The 24,730-nt window shown below is 42.1% G+C and overlaps 1 protein-coding gene, 1 long non-coding RNA gene and 1 other non-coding gene across 5 annotated transcripts, besides 8 other annotated features; 2 read left to right on the top strand and 1 right to left on the bottom strand.

Annotated features, from left to right (window-relative positions):
- Positions 29 to 368: an enhancer, noted in NCBI's record as "active region_3983". NCBI's record gives its function as "activates an Ori minimal core promoter by ATAC-STARR-seq in GM12878 lymphoblastoid cells {active_cell/tissue: GM12878}" and the evidence as "EXISTENCE:reporter gene assay evidence [ECO:0000049][PMID:35858748]".
- LOC124902497 (uncharacterized) lies at positions 175 to 20,759 on the top strand. The gene is made up of 2 exons (XR_007062284.1): positions 175 to 539; positions 20,500 to 20,759. It is a non-coding gene; the product is annotated as an uncharacterized LOC124902497 (long non-coding RNA).
- Positions 419 to 588: an enhancer, noted in NCBI's record as "active region_3982". NCBI's record gives its function as "activates an Ori minimal core promoter by ATAC-STARR-seq in GM12878 lymphoblastoid cells {active_cell/tissue: GM12878}" and the evidence as "EXISTENCE:reporter gene assay evidence [ECO:0000049][PMID:35858748]".
- Positions 599 to 658: an enhancer, noted in NCBI's record as "active region_3981". NCBI's record gives its function as "activates an Ori minimal core promoter by ATAC-STARR-seq in GM12878 lymphoblastoid cells {active_cell/tissue: GM12878}" and the evidence as "EXISTENCE:reporter gene assay evidence [ECO:0000049][PMID:35858748]".
- Positions 687 to 756, top strand: MIR4482 (microRNA 4482). Its single transcript, NR_039702.1, has one exon. It is a non-coding gene; the product is annotated as a microRNA 4482 (primary transcript).
- Positions 1,389 to 1,488: an enhancer, noted in NCBI's record as "active region_3980". NCBI's record gives its function as "activates an Ori minimal core promoter by ATAC-STARR-seq in GM12878 lymphoblastoid cells {active_cell/tissue: GM12878}" and the evidence as "EXISTENCE:reporter gene assay evidence [ECO:0000049][PMID:35858748]".
- Positions 1,637 to 14,919, bottom strand: GSTO1 (glutathione S-transferase omega 1). 3 transcript variants are annotated; one of them, NM_001191003.2, is made up of 6 exons: positions 14,593 to 14,919; positions 13,821 to 13,929; positions 9,294 to 9,516; positions 6,015 to 6,113; positions 2,902 to 3,008; positions 1,637 to 1,840 (listed from the first exon to the last, which is right to left on the bottom strand). In NM_001191003.2, the coding sequence occupies exons 2-6, from the start codon at positions 13,877 to 13,879 to the stop codon at positions 1,687 to 1,689; spliced, it is 642 nt and encodes a 213-aa protein (NP_001177932.1). In that variant the 5' UTR covers positions 13,880 to 13,929; positions 14,593 to 14,919; the 3' UTR covers positions 1,637 to 1,686. The 3 variants fall into 3 exon arrangements, with proteins under 3 accessions (NP_001177932.1, NP_004823.1, NP_001177931.1); NM_004832.3 differs by lacking the exon at positions 14,593 to 14,919 and adding an exon at positions 14,130 to 14,200; NM_001191002.2 differs by lacking the exons at positions 6,015 to 6,113; positions 14,593 to 14,919 and adding an exon at positions 14,130 to 14,200.
- Positions 13,254 to 13,303: a silencer, noted in NCBI's record as "silent region_2797". NCBI's record gives its function as "represses an Ori minimal core promoter by ATAC-STARR-seq in GM12878 lymphoblastoid cells {active_cell/tissue: GM12878}" and the evidence as "EXISTENCE:reporter gene assay evidence [ECO:0000049][PMID:35858748]".
- Positions 13,794 to 14,053: a silencer, noted in NCBI's record as "silent region_2796". NCBI's record gives its function as "represses an Ori minimal core promoter by ATAC-STARR-seq in GM12878 lymphoblastoid cells {active_cell/tissue: GM12878}" and the evidence as "EXISTENCE:reporter gene assay evidence [ECO:0000049][PMID:35858748]".
- Positions 14,124 to 14,183: an enhancer, noted in NCBI's record as "active region_3979". NCBI's record gives its function as "activates an Ori minimal core promoter by ATAC-STARR-seq in GM12878 lymphoblastoid cells {active_cell/tissue: GM12878}" and the evidence as "EXISTENCE:reporter gene assay evidence [ECO:0000049][PMID:35858748]".
- Positions 14,518 to 15,032: an enhancer, noted in NCBI's record as "OCT4-NANOG-H3K27ac-H3K4me1 hESC enhancer chr10:106013818-106014332 (GRCh37/hg19 assembly coordinates)". NCBI's record gives its function as "activates a minimal SCP1, AML or CMV promoter by ChIP-STARR-seq in primed H9 embryonic stem cells {active_cell/tissue: H9 hESC(primed)}" and the evidence as "EXISTENCE:reporter gene assay evidence [ECO:0000049][PMID:30033119]".
- Positions 20,760 to 24,730: the final 3,971 nt, after the last annotated feature.

Here is a 24,730-nt window from a genome sequence, read left to right as displayed (position 1 = left end):
AAGTACCTGCCCAGCAGTGCGGCTGAGCCAATGGGCGGCCTCCTTACAGGCTCCTGGAGATCGGGATTCGCGGGTCCTGCCGGCGCCGGTGGCTGACGAAAGAGGAACCGGTAGTGGTTGGCTGTGGGACCCCGGCACCCGGCTCCGCACCTGAGGGGAAATCCGCTGGAAAGCACTAGGGCCAAGCGGCTCCGGTAGGCGCGCGGCAGCAGAGGTGGTCCGCCGCCGGCAGCCGGGGCTTTGGTGGCCGCTGAAGGTTTGCGGCAGGAGGCCTTTGTGAAGTCAGTCGGCTCCAGGTCGCCCTCCGGATGCGGTCCCCACACCGCCTGCGTCACCTGGGTTGAGGGGCTCATTTGAAATACAGACTTCGCTACCCACCCCAGCCTGCTGAATCGGAAATGCAGCGGTGAGCCATAGGTGATTATTATGCACCCTTAAATTTAAGAATTAGTCATTCGGAGGTTTCTCTCAATGGCGAACTTGAAAATAAGTTCAGGAAACCAGACAATTGGAGCGGACCGACAGCCCTGATTCCAATGGTAAGAGCAGTGCGCTGGGTGTGATCTTTCTGCCAGCACCTTAAGGCCTCACTTAACCTCGGGACCTTAGTTGCATCATCTATAGAATGAAATGATTGCTCTCCGACCTACCTTCTCGTGGTGGTGATGTGATAATAAAAATTGAATAGTGAGCAACCCAGTGGGCTATGGAAATGTGTGGAAGATGGCATTTCTATTTCTCAGTGGGGCTCTTACCTATTACTCATCAACCTTGTAGGCAGAATTGACTGATGCAGCCTACACAGTATTTAATTACATAAATGGGACACCACCTATGTGCCCAACATGGGATTTGATAGGAAGGATTTGAAGGGGTTAGAGACAGGGAGACCAAATAGGAGTCTGCCCAGCCACCCAGCTTTCGGGTAATGTGCGTCTGGTCTTCAGGGCCAACAATAGAGAGAATGTGAAATTAAGTTGATGATGGAAATGAAAGAAGGAGGAATTGAAAGCTTCTCAACTAAGAAACCAGAAGACAAGCAACAAGAGAGCATCTCATGAAATCACACAACAGGGTAACTGAGTGGGTATTTCCTGTGAGCAGTTATAAAGTTAGATTGTGGACGGGTACGGTGGCTCATGCCACTTTGGGAGGCCGAGGCGCGCCGATCACCTGAGGTCGGGAGTTGGAGACCAGCCTGACCAACATGGAGAAACCCCTTCTCTACTGATAATACAAAAAAATTAGCCAGGCGTGGTGACGCATGCCTGTAATCCCAGCTACTCAGGAGGCTGAGGCAGGAGAATCGCTTGAACTCAGGAGGCGGAGGTTGCGGTGAGCTGAGATCAGGCCATTGCACTCCAGCCTGGTCAACAAGAGTGAAACTCCGTCTCAAAAAAAAAAAAAAGATTCAAGTCCAGATTTTGCTAAAGATGATAATTTGGGGGTTTTCAGCATGGACTATGATAGAACCCTCAGAGTCGTTTCAGCATCCTGAGACAGGAAATGCATTTTCATTTCTGTAGGGGGGCGTTAAGGAGACCCCCACCGTTTGGCTGTTGATGTCAAATCAGTCAGAGAAGATGATCCCATGCAACCTGAACCTTGGTAAAATAAAAGCATGCTATTATTCATATTAGTGAAGGAAAATATCAGACATAGCTTTATTGCTGACTCCTGCCCCCTTCAGAGCCCATAGTCACAGGCCTCAGGGCTGTTCTGTAAGTAGAGCTCTAGGAAACCTTGCCAGTCTTTCTCACTAGTAAGCAGGGCTGAGACTGTGGGATCTTCCTTCATGGCTGCCATCCACAGTTTCAGTTTTGGAGTGTGGTCTACACACCTGTGGGAAGAGGAAAAAATGAAAGGTGTGAGCTAGGTCAACTAGGATGACATCACAGAGTCTCCCATATGTAATTATTACTCTACAGTTTCACTTTTTTCCCTTAAATATTTCATTAAAAATATTTAAAAATGCCTGTAATAGAATATTCAATTTGAAAGACACTATAGAGGTCCCTTTTTTACACAAAAGGAATGAGACTAGAGTGAAGCAATTTGTTCAGTTAATGTGAGAACTTGCCCAAAGAGAGAAACTGACAATTTATTAAAATAAGAACAGGGAATACAATCAGGAATGTTCTATGTTAATTATTCTACACCCAGATTATGACCAAAAGTAACCCTGAATAGCTCTATCGTCCAAGAAGCCGGAGTAAGGCAAGGTGGCTGCCAAACTCAAAACAGAATTTGGAAAATAATGTGGAAATCTTACGGTAAATGGGAGGTAACACTGGTCGTACAATCCCGCAACAACATCCTTACAAAAATTTACAACCTTATGGAATTTTTTTTTTTTTTTTGATGAAGTGTCTTGCTCTTGCCCAGGCTGGAGTTCAGTGACATGATCTCAGCTCACTGCAACTGCCTCCCGGGTTCAAGTGATTCTCCTGCCTCAGCCTCCCGAGTAGCTGAGATTACAGGTGTGTACCACCATGCCCAGCTAATTTTTGTATTTTTAGTAGAGATGGGGTTTCACCACATTGGCCAGGCTGGTCTCTAACTCCTGACCTCAGATGATCCACCCGTCTCGGCCTCCCGAAGTGCTGGGCTTACAGGCGTAAGCTACCATATCCTTCCCCTTATGGGTTTTTAATCAGGAAGGAAGGAATAAATTTTAAAGCACTTTACTACATGTCTCAGAAATCCCCTGCCCCATTGCAGTGATGGAGAGTAGTTAGTGTAGGTATATGACATGCCTGGGATAGTCCAAGATTCCCCTGTCTGCTTGTTCTCATTCAGACCAGTTGTATTAAATATTTCAACTTCTGTTATAAAGAAAGGTCAATATATACTATTCCACCTGTCATCCTAAATTATGCACAAAATATTCAAATATCTTACTCATTTAACTTCATTGCTTCCAGCCGTTCAAACCAGGGCCAGATGAGGTAATCAATCATAGAGATAGAATTGCCACCAAAGAAGGTCGTCTTCTTATTAGTCAGAACCTGAACATTAAACAGCATAAAAGTATTTCTTACTTGTGCATGTAGTAAGACTCACTAGAAATGCTGAAGGGAAATAAGTAGAGCAGGTGAGAGAAGCAGTTTTTACTCCGATGTATCCAAGTTGGGTTTTTTTCTGATCAAAAAGCTTAATTAAGCTTTAGAATCTGTTGGTCTGGGATGAAGTAAAACAATCAACAACATAAACTGGAAAATTGAAAAATAAAACAAGTCACAGAGTACAACATATTTGTAATACAAAGGACTGGTATTCAGAATATAGAAAGGATTCCTGGGAATCAGTAAGAAAAATAGCAAACGACCCATTGGAAAAATGAGCAAGACTTGATCTTCAAGAAAGATGATGTCCAAATGGCCAATTATCATTTGGAAAGGTGTTCAACTGCATTAGTCATTAGGGAAATGCAAATTAAAACCAAAATGCAATAACACTATACACCCAAGAGAATGCCTACAATGAACAAAATGAAGTTGGCAAGGGTATGGAACCACTGTCGTAGAGGTGTAAATTGGTACAACCATGTTTTAAGAGTATGCATACTCATCACCCAGCAATTGTACTTGGCAATGTAACACATGTTCACCAAAAGATATGTTATGTGAATGTTCACTGCAGCACTATTTGTAATAGCCCAAATGTGAAAACGTTTACTATCAAGAGTAGAATGGGTAAAGTGTAATATACTATACTTTGGAACACTGTATAAAGAACAGGAAAGAACTACACACAGCAGAGATGAACCCACAAACCTAATATTGAATGAAAGCAGGCAGACCCAAAAGATGAACATTATATGAGTCCATTTGTATAAAGTACAAAAAAGCCCAAACTAGTATTTTGTTAGTTGATATGGGTGCTGGTTCCATGGCTGTGTTCGCTTTGTGAAAACGTGTTGTGTTTTTATGCTTTGGGTACTTCTCTGCATTAAAAATTAAAAATATTAACTTTTCAATATAAAATGCACAGTCTGCAGCTTATGATGGTTCAATTTAAATTCTTTTCAACTTTACGACGGTGCAAAAGCAAGCATTCAGTAAAAACTCTACTTTGAACTTTGAATTTTGCTCTTTTCCTGGGCTATCGATTTGCAGTATGATAACTCTTGATGCTGGGCAGCCATACCATCAAGAGAGTAAACAACCAATGCTCTAAAGTGTGCTGTGTTGCCAGCATCTTTTGGATGCAGGTATTCGATAAATTATATGAGATATTCAACACTTTATAAATATTTTATGTTTGATGGTTTTATGTTTGATGATTTTGCCTAATTGCAGGCTAATGGAAGTTTTCTGAGCACATTTAAAGCAGGCTAGGCTAAGCTATGATGCTCTGTAGGTTGGGTTTATTAAATGCATTTTCCACTTATGATATTTTCAGCTTACGGTGGGTTTATTGGATGTAACCCCATTGTAAGTGCAAAAGCATTTGTACTTAAAATATACTGGAAATAGACTGGATTAACTGCTAAACAGATGACAATCATTTGAAAACAAAACACAAATTGTATGTTTCTGAAATTTTAAGAAGGCGAATTGGTTACAGGGTTTGCCAAAGGGGGTGATTGAGAATATTATCTGGCTATTTAAACCACCAAACTAATTTGCCCTTTATAAATAACCTCCATAGTTTTTTTTCAATGCATAATATGCATTTTAGATTGCTTATATCTACCTACTGTGTTCTGTCTACTACTAAACTAATTATCTGAAGAATATGGACTGCATCTTACTTTCCAGCTCCCACACTGTTCAGCAGAAAAATATAAAAGTACCAACACTGATTCAAGAAGAAATATAAAACCAAAAAACCAATTACCATTAAAGAAATCAAACTAGTAATGAAAAATCTACCCCTGTTAAAGACACCAGGCTCAAATGTTTTAAAGAAACCGCTAGTCCCTACCAAATGGTTTCAGAGATTAGAAAAACAGGTTAGTTACCCAACTCATTTTATGAGGTCAGAATATCCTTGAAACCAAAAGCCAATAATGATACTATAAGAGTAGAAAATTTATAGGCCAATCTCATTTATGAACACACATACAAAAATCATTCATTAGCTAATTCTACAGTACATATAAAAATCCATAGAGAACAAGTAGGTTTTATCTTAGGAATGCTAGGATGGTTAAACATTAAAAAAAAAAAAATTTGTCAATAGCACCATATTCACCAGATTAAGAGGAAAAAATTCTATGAACATTTCAATAGATGTAACAGATGCAGAAAAACCATTCAATAAAATTCAACATTTATGACTTTTTTAAAAATTAGCAAACTAGTAATAGAAGAGAACTTTATAATGAAAAAAAGGTTTCTGAAAAACCTACAGCAAACATCATGCTTACTGATAAAATGTTAAAATGCATTCCCATGAAAGACAGGAACTATGTCTTCTGTCAGTAAAAACTTCAGGCTTAGCATGAATGAAATATTTCAAGGCCAAGAGACAGACTCCAAGGCCCAAATGTCAGCTGTCCCCAAAAGAAGGTAAAATACATCTGGGCTTCCCTCAAGTGTCTGTACTGTTCATTGCAAACTTTTTCTGGTGGGAAATATTTAGTATGTAATACTAAGTGGACACAGGAAAAAAAGCAGGACACAGAATGATATCTATGCTCTGATTAGAGCTATATTAATTTTTTTTAAATATATGGACAAGGACTGCAAACAAGCATGGAAAACTGGATACATAAAAACTTGTGGAAACGTGGGTACAATTTCCTTTTTCCTTGTTATTTTAACATTAGCAGAATATTTTAAAAGCAAGCCCATGACAAAGTCTGTTTAGGTGTTTTGATTTATATCTTAAGCAGGACAGCTTTCTGCTTTATAACAGCAGTCTGCTGTAAACAAAAATGTTTAGGGGAATTTTCCTAATTACCTTAAAGTGACTTGGAAAGTGGGAATATAAAGAAAAGAATAGGAGGAAAAGGAGGGTAGATATAGTTATCGTTTACTCTGATGATAGCTAGGAGAAATAATTACCTCCTCTAGCTTGGTAAATTCTTTACGAAATTCTTCTTTTAGGCCAGCATAGTCTTCTTTATTTTGGCTTCTAATAAAGCTTCCTACCAAGGATGGCACCTAGACAGAGAATAATTTCTTAGTTTATCAGTTTATGGCTAACTGTATCGGCCCCCTCACATAAAAATATGGTAGAACCCTTACAGTCCTGGTGTCAAGGTGTTCTAGAAACACCAAGGGTGCATCAAGTTCCTGCGCTCACAGAGGTAATGGACTGGTCTTAGGAACAGTTTTGTGGCCTAAAATGCTGGCTTGGTCAGGATTTTATAAATTACAAATAACAGAAGCTACCCTGGCACGTTTAAGAAACAACTTTCTTTCTTTTTTGAAATGGAGTCATGCTCTATCACCCAGGCTGGAATGCAGTGGCACGATCTCAGCTCACTGCAACCTCCACTGCCCGGGCTCAAGCAATTCTCCTGTCTCCGCCTCCTTAGTAGCTGAGATTATGGGCGTGCGCCACCACGCCAGGCTAATTTTTGTATTTTTAGTAGAGATGGGGATTCACCATATTGGCCAGGCTGGTCTGAAAACTCCTGACCTCAGGTGATCCATCTGCCTCAGCCTCCCAAAGTGCTGGGATTACAGGCTTGAGCCACCACGCCCGGCCAACACAACTTTCTTTAAAGGAGACTGAGTGGCTCATAGAATTATTGGGAGGCGGAACAAACAGGCTTGGAATTAAGACAGAACATCCCAAATTCATGCTGAGAAATGGCCTAATGGGAAGCACTCACTGCTGCCAGTCCAAGCTGAGCACCAGATGCTTCAGTTTGTGAGGCTGCCAGAAAGTAGAGTCTGAGATAACTGCTAACACCACTGGCACTGATGCCATTTCTACTCTGGAATTTTATCTTGTAACCCACACTGCTGAAACCCAGAAGCTCTGCCGCTGCTCTCACCAGGAAAACCAGTGGAGAGCTGAATATCTTAAGCAGATATCCCACCAAGCCTGTTTCCTTACCTTGCTCGTTTCTGATTTGAACTCTATGTGTGTGTCTGACAGGAAGAGCCTAGGTCACAAAACTTGGCCCCAACTGCAAAGAGCTAGGGAAGAAAATTTTTCTGATTTCTTTGTTGGGGAGGACACCAGGAGACTGTTCAAAAGGGACCGACTACCTAAAGACTTGATGGGTGTAGCATCAGATGCTTTAATGCTCGTGATGGTGTTTATGTGTTTTAATACTTTGGTCTTTGGTATCATTTTATTGCAAGACGCAGAAGTCCACTCATCCTAGTTTAAGTAAACAGGCACTTGTAAAAATATAGAATCCCATGAAATCCCATCCACATCAGTTCAGCCTGCCTTCACTGGGACTGAAGGCTTTCAGGCAGCCCTTTCATCCACATTTCCACCTGGGTCTGCCTGGTCTTTCGTCTGTTTTTCCTCACATTTCTGCTCCATATTACTTTGCATACTTCAGTCCCTTTGCAATGTTTTTAATTCTTGCTCCTCTAAAAATTTATTTCTTAAGTGGCTTTGGTTTTTCTAGCCTCTAATTAACATTATTTGAGCCCCAACGCTTAGTTGTCTTTACTGTCCTAACCTTTACTGTCTTAGTTCTGTGTCTCATTTCCAAGTTCCCAGGAGAGAAGATAACTGGCCCAGGTGTGTGGGGTGGGGTACATTTCTGTTCTGATGGGCTGTGGCCAGGAGAGCAGGGTCATATGTACATAAAGCCACCTCTCCTTTAAAACCCAAGCAGGGAAGTAAAGGTGGGCATCTTCAGCATTACTTTTAAATCTCATTTTCTTTCTAGATAGTACAATGAATCTCTTGTGACTACTTTTTAAAGTAGTAGCTTTATGCATGAAAGTAAAGCTTCATGTCTAAAAGCTTTACTTTTAAAGCTCATTTTCTCTGACGTGTCCTACAAGTCCTTTCACGATCCAGTTCCTGTTTACCTCTCCAAAGTTACCCCTTTTATCTCTTCTCCTGACACTTTATATTCCAGCCATACTAAAAAAAGTTTTCCAGAACTGGCACCAGACCAAAGAGATTTTTCTTTAAGAACCACTTAGGCTTATTTTTTTTGGTTGGTATTGATGACTTCGTGTCTTGAAGCTGCATGCCTTTAACTTGTTACTACTTTGTAAAACTCTCCCACATCGTTCTTGAAAATGTCATGTTCCCTTTACATTATCTTTCACAGCAGCCGCCTCTACTATTCTTTCACCCTCATCTTACTAAGCAGATGACTCACTCTTCCTGTCCCATTGGCTTCCCTTTATAATGTCTCCTAAAACAGAATGTTTTCCCTATAACTCTCTCTTAGGGCATTTCTTTAACCATCTTTTTCTCTAAAGATAATCCTTTATATACTGACCGTACTACCAAGGTGACAATGTTATAGGCATATAACCAGACATGCTATTCTTGGTGTCTAAACACACATCTTTTAGTCATTTCTTTGTTAATACTAATTGTTTGAACTAATCCACAGTGTTGATGCTAAGTAAGGTACAAACAGTTCTTCTACAGGATTGCTATTTATTCAGTCATCTGAGTTATTGCCAACACAAAGTAGATGCTCACTGCTTGATGCTATGGCTATAAGGACAAGAATTAAGTAGTTCCCATGTGTCAGACTCTGTTCTGGGTGTTTTATATTAACTGATTTTTATCTTATGAGGTGGGAACAATTACTATATCCATTTTACCAATGATGAACGGAGAGGCAAAGTAATAAGTAACTTGCTCAGAGTCACAAGAAAGTAGCAGAGCCAGTCATAAAACTAGGCAGTGAACTAACAGTGATCAAAACACAGCCCTCACCCTCAAGGAGCTCACAGCCCCAGTGCAGTACACAGGCAAGAAGGCAGGCAAAAGTTCACACGGATGGGAACTCAGAAGCTAGAGCACTAACCAGCCTGCCAAGCTCCTGAAAAGGCAGCAGTGTCGGAGCAGACATGTGAAAAATGACGTGGAGATAACCAGGCACAGTGAGAAGTGGGAAGAATCTGACAGCAAGAATTGAAAGAGAAAGGGGCGAATTTGGGAATTCTGAGAAAAGTTTAGTATGGCTGGCATATATAAAGTGTCAGGAGACGAGTGAAAAGGGATAATTTTGGAGGTAAACAGGAACTGGATCGTGAAAGGACTTGCAGGACACTCAGAGCTGACAAGCATATTCCTGTTTTGTTTTTCTCTCCCAAATCACTGAACCATAAATGGCAGCACTGATTTCGCTTTAAAAAACAGGTTTTTCAAATAGGAGCTGAAATTTCTTATGCACAAACCTTAGAAAACAACTCTAAGATCATCTTCTGGCAAGCTTTCTCATAGGGGTCATCCGGCAACAGCTTCTTCCCTGGGTATGCTTCATCCAGGTACTCACAGGTGATGGCAGACTCGTAGATCAGCTGACCCTGACTGTTTTCCAGAACTGGCACCAGACCAAAGGGATTTTTCTTAAAGAACCACTCAGGCTTATTTTTCAGGTTGATATTGATGACTTCATGCCTGAAAGACACATAGGAGACTATGAAGAGAAGGAAACAACTTTTGTGCTTTTGGATAAATTCTCACTGGCTTTGCCATCCACTTAGCTGATCAGACCCCAAATTTAGGAGTCTGCCTAGATTCCTTCCATTCTAGTTTTTGATTTTATGAATCTGACTACTTTTGATACACCTTTTAAGAACAATCATGCAGTATTTGTCTTTCTGTGTCTGGCTTATTTTACTTAGCATAATGTCCGCAATGTCCATCCATGTTGTCACATATTGCAGAATTTCCTTCCTTTTTAGGTGGAATAGCATTAACACATTTTCTTTATCCATTCATCTGCTGATGGACATTGACATTATGCTGTTGTGAACAGTGCTGCAGTCTACGTGAGAGTGCTAATATCTCTTTGAGAACTTGATTTCATTTAATTTGGATATATACCCAGTAGTGAGATTGCTGAATCACATGGTAGTTCTAGTTTTAATTTTTTGAAGAACATCTATACTGTTTTCCATAGCAGCTGTACCATTTTACATTCCCGCCAACAGTGTGCAAAGGTTCTGATTTCTACACATCCTTGCTAACACTTGTCTTTTTTCATTATAGTCATCTTGACAAGTGTGAGGTTATTATGTGATTTTGATTTGCATTTTCCTGATGATTAGTGATAAGAACTTTTTCATATATGTGTTGCCCATTTTTATATCCTCTTTGAAGAAATGTCTATTTTTTTAATTTTTAATTTTTTTTGACACTCTGTCTCCCAGACTGGAGTACAGTGGCTTGATCGCAGCTCACTGCAGCCTCGACCTCCTGGGCTAAAGCGATCCTCCTACCTCCCGAGTAGTTGGGACCACAGGCGTGCACCATCACACCCAGCTAATTTCTTTGTAGAGACAGGATTCTGCCATGTTGCCAAGGCTGGTCTTGAACTCCTGGGCTCAAGTGAACTGTCTGCCTCGGGGTTATAGGCGTGAGCTACCATGCCCAGCCTGAGAAGTGTCTATGTAAGATCTTAGCCCATGTTAAAATCAGGTTTTTTTGTTGTTGAGTTGTAGAGATTCCTTATGTATTTTGGAGATTAACCCCTTACCAGGTATGTGGTTTGCAAGTACTTTCTCCTATTCCATAGGTTGCCTTTTTGCTCTGTTAATCGTTTCCTTTGCTGTGTGGAAGCTTGTTTGCTGTAGTCTCATGTGTTTATTTTTGGTCTTGTTGCCTGGTCTTTGGTGTCATGTCCAGGAAATCATTGCCAAGGCCAGTGTCATGAAGCTTTTCCCCTATGTTTTCTTTTACACGTTGGCGGTTTTTATATTCCTTGAATTTGCCAAATGTGTTTCCACCTTAGAGTCTTTGCACTTGATGGTCCTCTGCCTCCTCTGCCTGCCTTTTCCCAGGTCTTCCCAGGTCAAACACACATCCCCAGGCCCTCCCTGACCATAGCTCTGAAGTTGCTGAGCAGCTTCTATTACATGATTATCATGTTTTACTTTCTTCATTGAACTGATAATATGTATCTGAAATTACTTTGCTCACTTATTTACAAGTTTGTTATCTTCCTAGAATGTAAGCTTCACGAAAGGTGGGATCTTGTGTATCTGTTCATAGTAATAAACAAACATGTAAATGAGCAAAATGCTATATAGATATAAATGCTCTGAAGAAAATAAAAAGTTTCAAATAAGGACTCAGTAAATATTTTTGTTTTGAAATATTTCATATAAATGAATGAATAAATCTGTGGAAATGCTTCAAAATTGTCAATAAGATACTCCATTTATGGCTAAGAGGTATCTTAGTTATAAATCATATGAGGCAACTAATTGAATTGTGTCCACTATCCACTATATGAGAACCAACATAAAATTCAATTTATTTTGCTAATTTGAGTAAAAAGTTTCTTGGTTTTTATGAAGATATTAAGGAATCCTTAAAATCCACCCACAAGGCCAGGCTTGGTAGCTTACATCTGTAATCCCAGAACCTTGGGAGACTGCAGTGGGCGGATTGCTTAAACCCAGGAGTTCAAGACCAGCCTGGGCAACATGATGAAACCCTATCTCTACAAAAAATATAAAAATTAGCCAAGTGTGGTGGTACTCACCTGTAGTCTCGGCTACTCCGGATGCTGAGGTGAGAAGATTGCTTGAGCCCTGGAGGCAGAGGTTGCAGTGAGCCATGATTGCACCACTGCATTCCAGCCTGGGTGACAGGGCGAGACCCTGTCTCGAAAAAAAAAAAAAAATCCACCCACAAAATAAGCTTTCAGATTAAATCTCCATGTACTGATTTTTTAAAAAATGTTGTCTGAGTAAATCATACAAAGTAAACCAAAAAGGAAGAAAACAGGTGAAGTCCAGGCTATAGTCAGATTGTATTTAGGTCTATCTTGTATGTTGCCTGAGACTGTAGAGGAACTAAGAGAAAGGAGCTAGGTCCATATGATTGTCAAGGCTGAATAAATGTTCAATAGAACAGATTACTAAAAAAAAAATAGACACCAATACCTTTTGTTTTCTATTTTCCCATCCACAGCTGTAGCTAGAACAGCATTTCATTTGAGGATTTAAATACATAATCCCCCATGTAAACAAAGGAACATCCAATTTGAACATGAGCACAGGTGTGCATGTAATTTAAAAGGTTCATGTGCTGACAATACTGGACACTTAAGTACCAGCCATTGCAAAAAAAAAAAAAATTATTTGGCTCCTTGCCAAAGAATTATCAACATTTTTGAACTATAAAACAAAAACTTTTGTTACTATGAAAACAAAAAGATCCTGGGCTTTTGTTATTTAAAAAAAAAAAAGTATGTCAGAACACACATGAATTTTGGTAAGCTGGCATTGTGAGCCAACAAGTCTACACACCTGCCACAGCAAGTTGGAAGATGCATCTTTTAGAGAAAACCATGCTTTGTTAAGTCATATCATGTGGTTAAAATCTAGTACTTTCCCAGTAAAAGCCTCCTCGGGCTCAAGCTTAAAACTGGTCTATTAATGTAGTAGACCTTTGTTGTTTGCACTGTCTGGAAGCTGTTAACCACTCTCTTCCTCCCCTCTACCCCACACTATTAGGGGAAGATAGTTTCAATGTTCCTTTGGAAAACTGCCCCAGTAAATAAGGTAGGGTTGTTTTCAAACTAAAGGTCCAGGGTGAAGCACATAACCCAGGACTTTGTGCCTCTGAATCCAGCTGTGTCATGCTCCTGGACTTTTCAAATAAATGAGTACCAAAAAATGTCTTTTTTCAATTTTGGTTACATTAGATTTCTCTTAGTACAATAAAAGAGTTCTATCACAGCAAATATGACAGTGTTTTTGAGAAACATTATGAAATAGTAAGTACTCTATGTGTTCAGAATCATAATCTCATCCAAATGAGATGCATTTCTTAGTGAAGTAATGACAAATCCCCTTCAAATGTATTTTTTAAATGCATTTTACCTTTCTTTTAGGGAAAATAATTGCCTACCCCTAAAGATTATCCCCTTAGAAGACTAAAATTAGTTCACAAACACTAAGCACACAGACAGAAAATTCCTTAAGAATAGGGGGTTTGTTTTAAACTTCCACAGAACCTTCCACACCAAAGGTATCTAATAAATGTCTAATCAACAGACATCCAAAGGTCATGGGAAGGGAAGTGGTTCCAATGGATACTTGGTGTCAGAGAAAAGTCAAGTGACTGTTGCACATATCCTGTGGATAGCCCGTAAGTCAAAAACTATGCTAGTTTCAAAACAGGCTCTGCAGAAGGATGAGCTAGACAGACACTTCCCTCTATTTGACTCAACCAACAGCCCAATCCACAGGAATATGTGCAGTAAACTCAGCACTACCCTAGGAGGGTCAGGGTCTAAACTCTGCTGTACTGGGGTAAATTACTATTCTAGGAGGGAACAATACATTCAGAATAACAACTAACAGTTAAGCTGGAATAAGAACGGGAAATCACAATAGGGCGAAAGCGAAAGGACTCTGGACCAGGAATTCGTGACCTACCAAAGCTAAAAGAGCTGCTGCCGGTTATTACCGGGCAAATCACTAACATCACTGGAGCCTCAGCTTTTCTAATCCATTAAATGGTTGGTTAATCTAAATGAGGTGTCCTAGACCGTTGGAATCTGTGGCCTATTTTTCCTAGGGGAATGGCCTATAACTTGCTATTTTCCAAAGGGCCGAGAATAGTTTAATGTGCAGTAAAGGACGCTGGTGGGAGGGGGGTAGAAGGGGGCTGAGACCCCACCCCACCCCGCCGCCTGCAGCAGGCTCCCGGACGGCTCGGGGAGCGTCCCCCGCCTGGGTGCCCACCTGATTCCCTTGGCCTTCAGGACTAGACGCGTCCTCTCAGCAAACGGGCAGAACCTCATGCTGTAGATGCGGATCGAGCCCTCCGGGACCGGCCCCGGGGGCGCGCTTCCTGCCGGGGAGAAGCGAAGGCGATTACGGCCCAGAGAGGTGTCGAGACCCCCCGTATCCCACCGCCCCCGCGTCCCACTGCAGCTCCGACCCGTTCCCCGCCGGTGGGGCGCTCCCGGGCGGCTGGGCTCCCGGAGCAGCCTCGAACATGCCGCCGGGGGTCGCCGAGATCACCCCCTCTTCGCGGCGGGCAGGCCTCACCCTTCCCCAAGCTCCTGGCTGACTCCCCGGACATCGTGGCGCAGCGCAGGCCGAGCTCCTCTGGGGTTTGCAGGGGATTCAGGAAGTAGGTGGCGCGTCCTTCCCGCCCTCCTTCCCTCCCCCGCTTCCTCCTTAGCTCAAAAGTGCCTGCCCCCGGCGGCCGCCAGCTCCACCCGTTGTGCCTTCCCGGCTTTATGGGATAGCCCTTAAAACATCTTAAGGGGCTGTGTCAAAGCATCTCGCTGGCCAAGGGCTGCACCCACGGGGAGATACACAAAAGTTATAAATGCTCAGTCATCCCTCCGCCCCCGAACGAAGGGGTCACCACTCCGCACTCCACGGGGCTCCACGTCTGACCCTGACCCTGACCTCCCTCCCGTGACACTGACCTCGAAGCACCACCCGCTCCGTCCCAAGGCTTCACGACTTCAGAGCCTGTGGCCCGACCTCATGGCTCACTCACCGGTCCAGAGCGTTCTCTCCAAAGGCTCCTGTTCAGCTTGTGAAGGGAAAATAAAAATCTCTTGACTCCAAACTCACTATGCCAAAGGGAAGAGTCAAGCTTGGAAACTGAGTCAGGCAACACTGCCTCCCATTTTGTTGCTAAATAGCTACAAAGATCAAAGGCCACACACCTCCCCAAGGAAATTCCTTGTTGGCCCGCAAGATCTTTACTCTAAAACAGATCAGTTGAATTTCATCTTGGCAATGTAAACTAACAGCTTATCTTCCCAAGTATGGGACAAAGACAGGTCTAGGAGTCATCCTTCCTCTCGCTGGAGAAAAATGCAATTTGACCGCTTCCTCTACCCTATATTTAATCTTGTAAAAATGCAGATTCACCAAGCACTAGACGAATGCATAACTGACTATTCCTCTACGACCTCCTTTCACGAATGTAACATGCGCATTCAGTGAATGCTGATCAAAGGCCCCAAAGAATGCAACTACTCTCCCCTTTTATCTACCTTCCCTTTTTACTTTCCACTTTCCCCTACTGCCTGCTCTTTCCCTTTAAATATTGAAGTCCTCAAGCCCTCTTTGGAAAGAGCACAGATCACAGATGTTCCTGTGATTTTGTGTTCCTTTTTCTCAGATGTGTCCTCAACCTTGGCAAAATAAACCTCTAAAAGGATTGAGACTCACCTTGGTCATTTCCTTTGATTTACAAGCTCATCTATGCCTCGCTGCAGGGTTGCCCAGCCACCTGGACAGGCTTTTCCTTTTTCTGTCAGTACTAGCTTAACGTGACTACTGGGAGGGCCTCTGTCCCTACCGTCACCTGTAGGATACATCCTTTTCATTTTAACCCATAGGAGACAGCACAAACCTGGATATTATCAACCTCAGAATAATGGTGCTGCTTTCAAAACTCTCCCACTTATTAAACATTTGTGTTTTGGAGCCCTGGTAATATAACAGTACTCCCATTTTTCTAAGAGATAGAGGATGAGTTATTTTTTACATTATTTATTTCTCCCATCTTCTCTGTTTCCTCCTTTCTCCCTGTTCCCCACTTCCTACTTAGCTCTTTAGAAATGCAATTATCATCTTTTACCTTCCCTTCACCTGACACTCCCTACAGGGCAAGCTTATCTAACTGGGTGTTTACTTAAAAGCTCCAGAGCAGGACTCTCACCCCCCAGGAGACTGCCTCCAGAGATAACAGTCCATTTACATCCAAAAGTATGCCTGAGACAAGGCCACTTTACAAATGACTTCTGCCCATGATGGCACAACCCAGCAGATAAAGCACCAAAGTGAGTCATGCGAACCCCCACCCACTCGCTCCCTCCCCAGCATGCAGTTCATACCAACTGCCCCCTTTAAAAGCCCCTGCTTTCTGCCCCAGAAGCAAAGTGGTACCCTTAAGGCAGGAAGCCTGTTTTGCTCCCCCTAAGCTAGCTTTGGAATAAAAAATCACTTTCTTTATACCAGACTTTGCTCTTCTTATTAATAATTGGACTCTGAAAGCGGGAAGCAACTGAACCTGCATTTCAGTTACAATAAGGGCACAGGCTCAGAATCAAGCAGGTGGCATGAGTGAATTTAGTTTTGGGTCTGGGAATAAAGGTCTGGCCAGAGAGTCCTCTCAAACAGCTCTTTTAACTTAGGGGTCAGGAAAGAGGGGTTCCAGGGCCATCATACAGATGAGGAAAAAGACTATTCAATGATTTCCTTGTTTGCCTAGATTTGAAAGCTGGTAACTCCTGTGCCATTTATTGGGGTGAGATTGGGGTAGATGTCTATTTTTATTTTGATTAGCCCTATTATGGGAGGAGCAGAGAATGAGGTGAAAAGCACCAAGTGTTGGAGCACCCTGCCTGTTTTGATCCTGGCTCCACCCCTGTATTCAGTTGCTAGGACTAGGGTAACAAAGTACTGCAGAGTGGCTTAAATAACAGAAGTGTGTTGCCTCACAGTTCTAGAGGCTACAAGTCCAAGATGAAGGTGTCAGCAGGGTTGCTGCCTTCTGAGGAGGGAGTCTGTGAGGGAGTCTGTTCCATGCCTCTCTCCCAGCTTCTAGTGGTTTGAGGGAATCTTTGGTGTCCCTTGGAGTGCAGAAGCACCACCCACCCCATCTGTGCCTTCATCTTCATTCACACTCCAGTATGACCTCATTTTAATTTAGTTACATCTGCAACAACCCTATTTCCAAATAAGGTCACATACTGGGGCACTGGGGATTAGAACATCAATGTATGAAATTGGGGGAGCACAATTCAACCCGTAACAACCACTTATTAACTGTGAACATGGGGAAGTCACTAACCTCAGTGTGTTTCAGTTTCCTCACCTGTAAAATAAGATGGAACACATGTTATTCCTCCTGCATAGATGTTACGGGAAAGGGGTCCTGATCCAGACCCAAGAGAGGGTTCTTGGATCTCGCATAAGAAAGAATTCAGAGCGAGTCCACCGTGCAAAACAAAAGCAAGTTTATTAAGAAAGTAAAGTGGTGAAAAAACAGCTACTCCATAGACAGAGTAGGGTGTTCCCGAAAGTAAGAGGACGAAGGCGTCCACCCCAGGTTCAATGCCTGTATATATAGGATGAAAAAAAGATATGGGGAGATGTGCTCTTTTTGTGATAAAGGGTTAATTTTCATAATTACTATGTTTTGCAAGAATCAATATTATTATCTTTAAAGCAAAATTAGGAATGCCTTTGTTCTCAAGATATCGGGATATCTGGACACTCCTAAGTCTGGGTCTGTTTAGTAAACATTATCAATCTATTCCCTTAACCATAAACATCTAGAGGCTAGGAATACCTAACTTTCTGGGAATGCGGCCCAGCAAGTCCCAGCCGCATCTTCCTAGCCCTCACTCAAGATGGAGTCGCTCTGGTTCAAACGTCTCTGACATAGAGTCTGTGGCAGGATTAAATTAGTTACTATACAGAAAGCACTCAGAGCAGTGCTTGGCATAGAATATGTTAAATAAATGTGATCACTACATATTTTGATTTAATTTAGTAAATAGGCAAGAAATAGATATAAATTTTTAAAAATCGACCACATTTTTGCTAAAATATGGGCACTGCTTAACTCTTTTTAAGGATATTGACTTTTTAGCACATTAATGACTTCATGCAAATAACCTTGTAAATTGAAACTTGGCAAGGTAAAACTTCTGAATGGCCAAAAAAAAATTTCACATCAAGGTATTACTTTAAAAGTTTTACTTGGAATGCCCTGTCCCCTAATTTAGTATGAATAATGTAATATTTTATTGCAATGATTTGAAAGATCCACCTCATCAATAAATAAAGTAAAAGGTTAATTCCTCAAAGAAAGAAATTGAAAATATACTCTCCCAGTGAACTACCGTACTATATTACTGGTGTGCATTACAATAGGTCCTCTCCAAGTCCTTTGTGGTTGTGTAAACATCTGAATATACACCTGAGGAAAGAATAGAACTTTCATCTGAGGAATGTGAGCCATTTCAAATTATTAGGCCCAAAGAGACATTAAAATGAGACAGCAATCATGCCCCACTCCCCGCTTCGAGCTATGTATTCACCTCTTGAAACTGCTTGTTATAGCCACAAGTAGCTATAAATTAACCTAATAATGCTACAGCAAATATAACCCACAGTCTATAGCTTAACAATGTGTAGCCAGCTACTAATCAATGTTATTTCTGTAAACCAATGAGAATTCCTGACAGACAACTCTATGTCAGCCCACTTCCTGAAGCCCCTTTTTGCCTTTAGAAATCCACTTGTAACTGCTGCTAATGAGAGTATCTATTCAGAGCAACTTGAACCTATACTCCTGGGTTGCAACCCTCAACCTTGGCTCAAATTACCTAATTGCATTAATTTTGGTTCACCCTCTTCCTTTTATGTTGACATGCTGCCCATAGCCACAGTTAAAAGGAAACAATACATGCGTTTTTACAACTACATTTCTTAATAACCTAAGAGACTAATCTGAGAGGATTCTGCTGGTTAAAGATCAAGAGTTCATGCCATTGCACTCCAGCCTGGGCAACAGAGTGAGTGAGACTTTGTCTCAAAAAAAAAAAAAAAAAAGAAGAAGCTTGAATAGAAAAAAAATTGAGGGGATATTAAAAGTCCATTGAAAGAAGAATGGATAAATTGTGTTGTATTCATATAATGGACATCTACCCAACAATGAAAACAAATAGTCTACAGCTATAGTTATCAACTTAAATCCCTCTCAAAAACATGATATTGAGCCAGAATAGCAAGTCACAATAATATATATGGTATGATTCTACATGTGTTAACTTTAAAAACAGGCAAAGTGAAACAGCACATTAGTTATGGCTCATGCATACATGGTAGAATTGAAAAGCAGGGAACAATAATCACAGAATTCAGGATGGTAGCTACATCCAGGGGAAAGGAAGGGAATGGAAAAGGGTGGGTGCATGATGTAGGGAGGTGCTTCCAGGGTATTGGTTCCCTTCTGTTTCTTCAGTTGGAAGGTGGCTTCTAGAGAATGGCATTGAGATGGGAAAGGATCAGGTGGGGAGAAATGAGGTGGCGACTGCTGTCATTTGAAAAGCTTTCTATTCACTTTGATTTTTTACTCTTAATATACGCTATATTGGGAAAAATTAAGATTTAAGAAACATTTTTTAAAGAACAGGAAAAAAAAAACCTACTGTTAAAAGACAACTGTTAAAAGTAATGAAGTAGATTCATATATACTGATGCAGAAACATGCCAGAGATACACTGTTAAATAAAAATGTTGTAAAACAGCATGCAGGAGGTAATCTCATCTGTTGAATGTACATGTCCTGCCAGTTATCTCCTAAATGTTCTACCTGGAAAGTCTTTAATCCTCACAACAATCCTAAGATTTAAATACTGTTAATATTACCATCTCAGGGATAGGGAAACTGGGGGGCACAGGTTAAGTGATTTTCTCAAAATCAATATATTTTTTATGGTGGAGATGGGTTGTCAACTCTGGTCTTGTGTCTGGAATTTATTCCTTCCGGTGGGTTCTTGGTCTCGCTGACTTCAAGAATGAAGCTGCGGACCCTCGCAGTGAGTGTTACAGTTCTTAAAGATCGTGTGTCCAGAGTTTGTTCCTTCAGATGTTCAGATGTGTCCGGAGTTTCTTCCTTCTGGTGGGTTCATGGTCTCGCTGACTTCAGGAGTGAAGCTGCAGACCTTTGCAGTGAGTCTTATAGCTCTTAAAGGTGCTGCGTCCAGAGTTGTTTGTTCCTCCCGGGGGTTTACGGTCTCACTGACTTCAGGAATGAAGCTGCAGACCCTCACAGTGAGTGTTACAGCTCATAAACCTAGTGCAGACCCAAAGAGTGAGCAGCAGTAAGATTTATTGTGAAGAGCAAAAGAACAAAGCTCCCACAGCCCGGAAGGGGACTCCAGCCTGTTGCCCCTGCTGGCTCCGGTGGCCAGCTTTTATTCCCTTATTTGGCCCCGCCCATGTCGTGCTGTTTGGTCCATTTTACGGAGTGCTGATTGGTCCGTTTTTAACAGAGTGCTGATTGGTGCGTTTACAAACCTTTAGTTAGACACAGAGCGCTGATTGGTGCATTTTTACAGAGTGCTCATTGGTGTGTTTACAAACCTTTAGCTAGACACAGAGTGCTGATTTGCGTGTTTACAACCATTTAGCTAGACAGAAAAGTACTCCAAGTCCCTACCCGATCCAGAAGCCCAGCTGGCTTCACCCATCAGTCTGACACCTAAGTCTGATCGAGAGATCAGGTAGCAGTTAAGACTGCTACCATATCTCATGGATTCTAAGATTCACATTTCTTCATGTTTAAATACCTCTAAAAATGGAAGTGTATCTAAAATTACAGCAGGCTGTGTAGCAGTTTTGACACTGATGTTATTGCTCTTGCTTGGACTTGCAGGGTAGCTGTCAATGGCTTTGGAAGAAAATCCCAGAGATAACAGAACATTCTTGCTGCATTATGGAATTAAATGATCTTCTTGGCACAGAGGACAATGCTATGGGATGAATGAGTTGGGGAAATGAATGCCTATGATGCTGATTTTAAAAATTATTCAAAAGAGCTGGATTCTAAAAGTTGAATGAATACTTTATATAACTTATATTTTCCTTTTTATACTTGCACAAGAGTAAAATAGAATAAAAATCATTTCTAAATAAGCTTAAGAGTTCTTTTATCATAAAAATCTGGGCTTAAAAGAGCTCTTTCAATAAGCGTTAAATAAAAATTTTAGGATTCTGTTGTAATTTAATTGGTTATTTATTTAATTATTCCCTCCTTGTCAGTTGATCTTAGAGCTGACTAAATACAGTTTGTCTCCCTCACAGTCCCCCTAAAGTACTTACTGACATTTTTAAAGAAAAAAATGTATTTTATTTAATGTCCAATAAAAAATACATACACACACACACACCCCTAAAACAGAATTTACACTTACCATTGGGATGCACTGTGAAGTTTTTTTGTTCCGTTCATTTTAAAGACATGTTGGTTACAACTTAGTAAGCAGATCTTACCAACCACTAATACGTTCCAACTCAGAACTGCTCTAGAGCACAAATGTGTGTTATAAATGCTAATTAACAATTTAAGGGAAATTTATAGCCTTCCTTCTGAGAATTAGCTCACAATAGTATTCTATGAACTCAGAAAAAAAATTTAAAAAACTAACATAGTCTTGTTACCATGTATCCTGCCTAGACAGGGCATATTGTTTCAGTGTGCCTGTAAACCACTTTTCTTCCCAGACTCAACAGCTAAGGGGAAATGACTTGCAACTATGTAACAAGACCACATAACTGTATCGTACATTTTCTATGAAAGTCCTTTTTTATGTACATGACTTTATCTGATCTTCACCACAATCCTGTGAGGGTAGACAGGGAAATATCAGATCCACTTTACAGATGAAGTTAAGATTCAGAGAGGTTAAGTGGCTTTTCCAGTTATAACAGACCTAGTAAAAGGCAGAGATAGAATAAGAACCATGAACTTTAAGGTCGAGGGCTTTTTTCTCCATGCCACGTAGCCTCTGAGAGTATAATCTGAACTCAAATATTTTCACCACTTCATCCTCACTTATGTTAACTCAAATTTTTGTCATAGAATACAACAAAACACCTACTTCTAAACTTACTGTAATCACCTAATGGGTTCATCTTGCCTGCTGCACAGATAAAGCCATTCTCTGAGACAGTGGTGTTGCAGTAGAGGAGTTTAATCATCACAGGGCCAGATAAGTGGTAGGACAGGAGATAATTCTCAAATCTGCCTCTACGAGAGCTCAGAAGCTAGGGCTTTTAAGGATAATTTGGTGTGTAGCAGACTAAGAGAATGGGTGCTGCTGATTGGTTGGGGATGAAATCATAGGAGTGTCCAAACTGTCTCCAAGTGCTGAATCAATTCTGGGTGGGGACCAACAGTTGAGTCAGTTCCTTGATACGAATCATGGGTCTGGGTGGAGTTAGTTACCAGAATGCAGAAGTCTGAAAAGTATTTCAAAAACCAGTCTTAGGTTTTGACAATAGTGATGTCAACTGTAGAAGCAATTACAAATCTTATGACCTCTGACTTCATGACTCCTGAACAGTAAGAAATTATAGAAAAGCAAGCTAGGAAATAGTAACTGCTGGTAGTACTGCTTAACTACACCTACATTTTAATACTCAGGGATTATACAAAACAATAGTTGGTTATCATTTCACCATGCTTACATTTTAGCAGAATTCAGGCCTCTCCCACACGCCTAATCTTGTGTCTTTTTCATTAGTCTTACAAAGGTGGTTTCAGTCCCCAGATAATGAGGGGATCAGTTTTAGGGACAGACTATTACCATCCTTGCTTCAAAGTTAAACCATAAACTAAATTCCTCCCGGGGTTAGCTGAGCCTACACCCAGGAATGAGCGAGGACAGGCAGCCTGTGAGGCTAGAAGCAAGATGCAGTCAGCCATGCTGGACTTCTTGCACTGTCATAATATTTGCAAAGTTAGTTTTATTGTTATGCCAGGTTTTTACTAGTGAAAAAGGCCCCAAAACATGTATTTTTCTGGAAAGTATTGTTTGTCTCCCGTCTAAGGGAACACAAGCAATATGAAAAACCCTAAAAGCCAAAAAAATTAAAGGGAAGTCCAATTGTGTACAGAATTGGTGGATTCTTGGTCTCACTGACTTCAAGAATGAAGCCATAGACCCTTGCGGTGAGTGTTACAGTTCTTAAAGGCGGCGTGTCTGGAAGTTGTTCCTTCTGATGTTCCGATGTGTTCAGAGTTCTTTCTGGTGGGTTCGTTGTCTCGCTGGCTTCAAGAGTGAAGCTGCGGACCTTCACGATGAGTGTTACAGCTCTTAAGGCCGCACATCTGGAGTCGTTTGTTCCTCCCGCTGGGTTCATGGTCTTGCTGCCTTCATAAGTGAAGCTGCAGACCTTTGCAGTGAGTGTTACAGCTCATAAACGCAGTGTGGACCCAAATGGCGAGCAGCAGCAAGATTTACTGCAAGGAGCAGCAAGATTTACTGCAAGGAGCGAAAAGACAAGGCTTCCACGCCACAGAAACGGACCTGAGCAAGTTGCCACTGCTAGCTCAGGCAGCCTGCTTTTATTCCCTTATCTGGCCCCACCCACATCCTGCTGATTGGTCCATTTTACAGAGAGCTGATTGGTCCGTTTTGACAGGGTGCTGATTTGTGCATTTATAATCCCTGAGCTAGACACAAAAGTTCTCCAAGTCCCCACTAGATTAGCTAGACACAGAGCACTGATTGGTGCATTTACAAACCTTGAGCTAGATACAGAGTGCTGATTGGTGTATTTACAATCCCTTAGCTAGACATAAAGATTCTCCAAGTCCCTACCAAACTCAGGAGCCCAGCTGGCTTCACCCAGTGGATCCTGCACAGGGCTGCAGGTGGAGCTGCCTGCCAGTCCTGCACTGTGCGCTGGCAGGTCTCAGCCCTTGGGTGGTCGATGGGACCAGGCGCCCTGGAGCAGTGGGCAGTGCTGGTCGGGGAGGCTCGGGTGGCACAGGAGCCCACGGCGGAGTGGGGAGGTTTAGGCATGGCGGGCTGCAGGTCCGGAGCCCTGCCCCATGGGGAGGTGGCTAAGGCCCAGCGAGAAATCGAGCGCAGCGCCAGTGGGCTGGCACTGCTGGGGGACCCTGTGCGTCCTCCACAGCTGCTGACCTGGGTGCTAAGCCCCTTACTGCCCGGGGTGGTGGGGCCAGCCGGCCGCTCCGAGTGCAGGGCCGCCGAGCCCACGCCCACCCAGAACTCGCGCTGGCCCGCAAGCACCGTGGGCAGCCCCGGTTCCCGCCCACGCCTCTCCCTCCACACCTCCCCGCAAGCTGAGGGAGCCCGCTCCGGCCTTGGCCAGCCCAGAAAAGGGCTCCCACAGTGCAGCGGCGGGCTGAAGGGCTGGCTCCTCAAGCACCGCCAGAGTGGGTGCCCAGGCAGAGGAGGAGCCCAGAGCGAGCGAGGGCTGCGAGGGCTGCCAGCACGCTGTCACCTCTCACGATGAGACGACACAAAATAGAATATATTGATACATTAGTAGTTTTAAGTTTATACTTTTGGGAAGAGGTTTACTTTTGTGAGAAATTAATAAAGATGAGCTTTGAAGCTTTTTAAGAGGATCTTAAGTCTTCATGATATTATTCAATGTGAAATGTGGAATGATGGTCTTCAGACACTTCTTCAGACCATGTCTTCACACACTTGGTACTTGGTGCTTTCCTAACGTGCTATTTTAGGTGATATTTAGGCAACAGTGCAAATTGATTTGTGTTTTTGTTTATTAATCGTCCTTGGAGTTCTTTAAATGGAGTCCATGTTAGAGTCCATAGATGTCAGTGTTCTGCAAAACTGGTAATTACCTGGCATCCAAGGCTCCAAGACATATCAGAAGTCCCATGCCCACCACAAACCAAGTACTTCAAGGGGGTAAATTCCTTACTTTATATTACTCTGCAATGTATTTTGTCATTCTTATAAATTCCACTGTCTTCCCCTTTTGTTGTCTCCTACAAAGTCTTCCTCCTATGTTATTTTATCTTTCAGTAAGTACTAGTTTCTCAAACATGTACCATAGTGTTACAGGCAGTTAGGCATGAGCAGGGCAGGAGACAGCTCTCCCCCGCC

Source organism: Homo sapiens, chromosome 10 (genome assembly GCF_000001405.40).
Source record: "Homo sapiens chromosome 10, GRCh38.p14 Primary Assembly".
Taxonomy (NCBI): Eukaryota; Metazoa; Chordata; class Mammalia; order Primates; family Hominidae; genus Homo; species Homo sapiens.
This window is presented reverse-complemented; position numbering and strand designations above follow the sequence as displayed.

What these genes read in the sequence shown, in the direction of transcription:
- GSTO1 (NM_004832.3), bottom strand. Translation starts at nt 14,163, where the DNA reads ATGTCCGGGGAGTCAGCCAGGAGCTTGGGGAAGG. An exon ending in AGCCAGGAGCTTGGGGAAGG is followed by an intron (nt 13,930 to 14,129) that starts GTGAGGCCTGCC and finishes TCTCCCCGGCAG; the next exon opens with GAAGCGCGCCCCCGGGGCCG. An exon ending in AATTTACCAAGCTAGAGGAG is followed by an intron (nt 3,009 to 6,014) that starts GTAATTATTTCT and finishes TTTAATGTTCAG; the next exon opens with GTTCTGACTAATAAGAAGAC.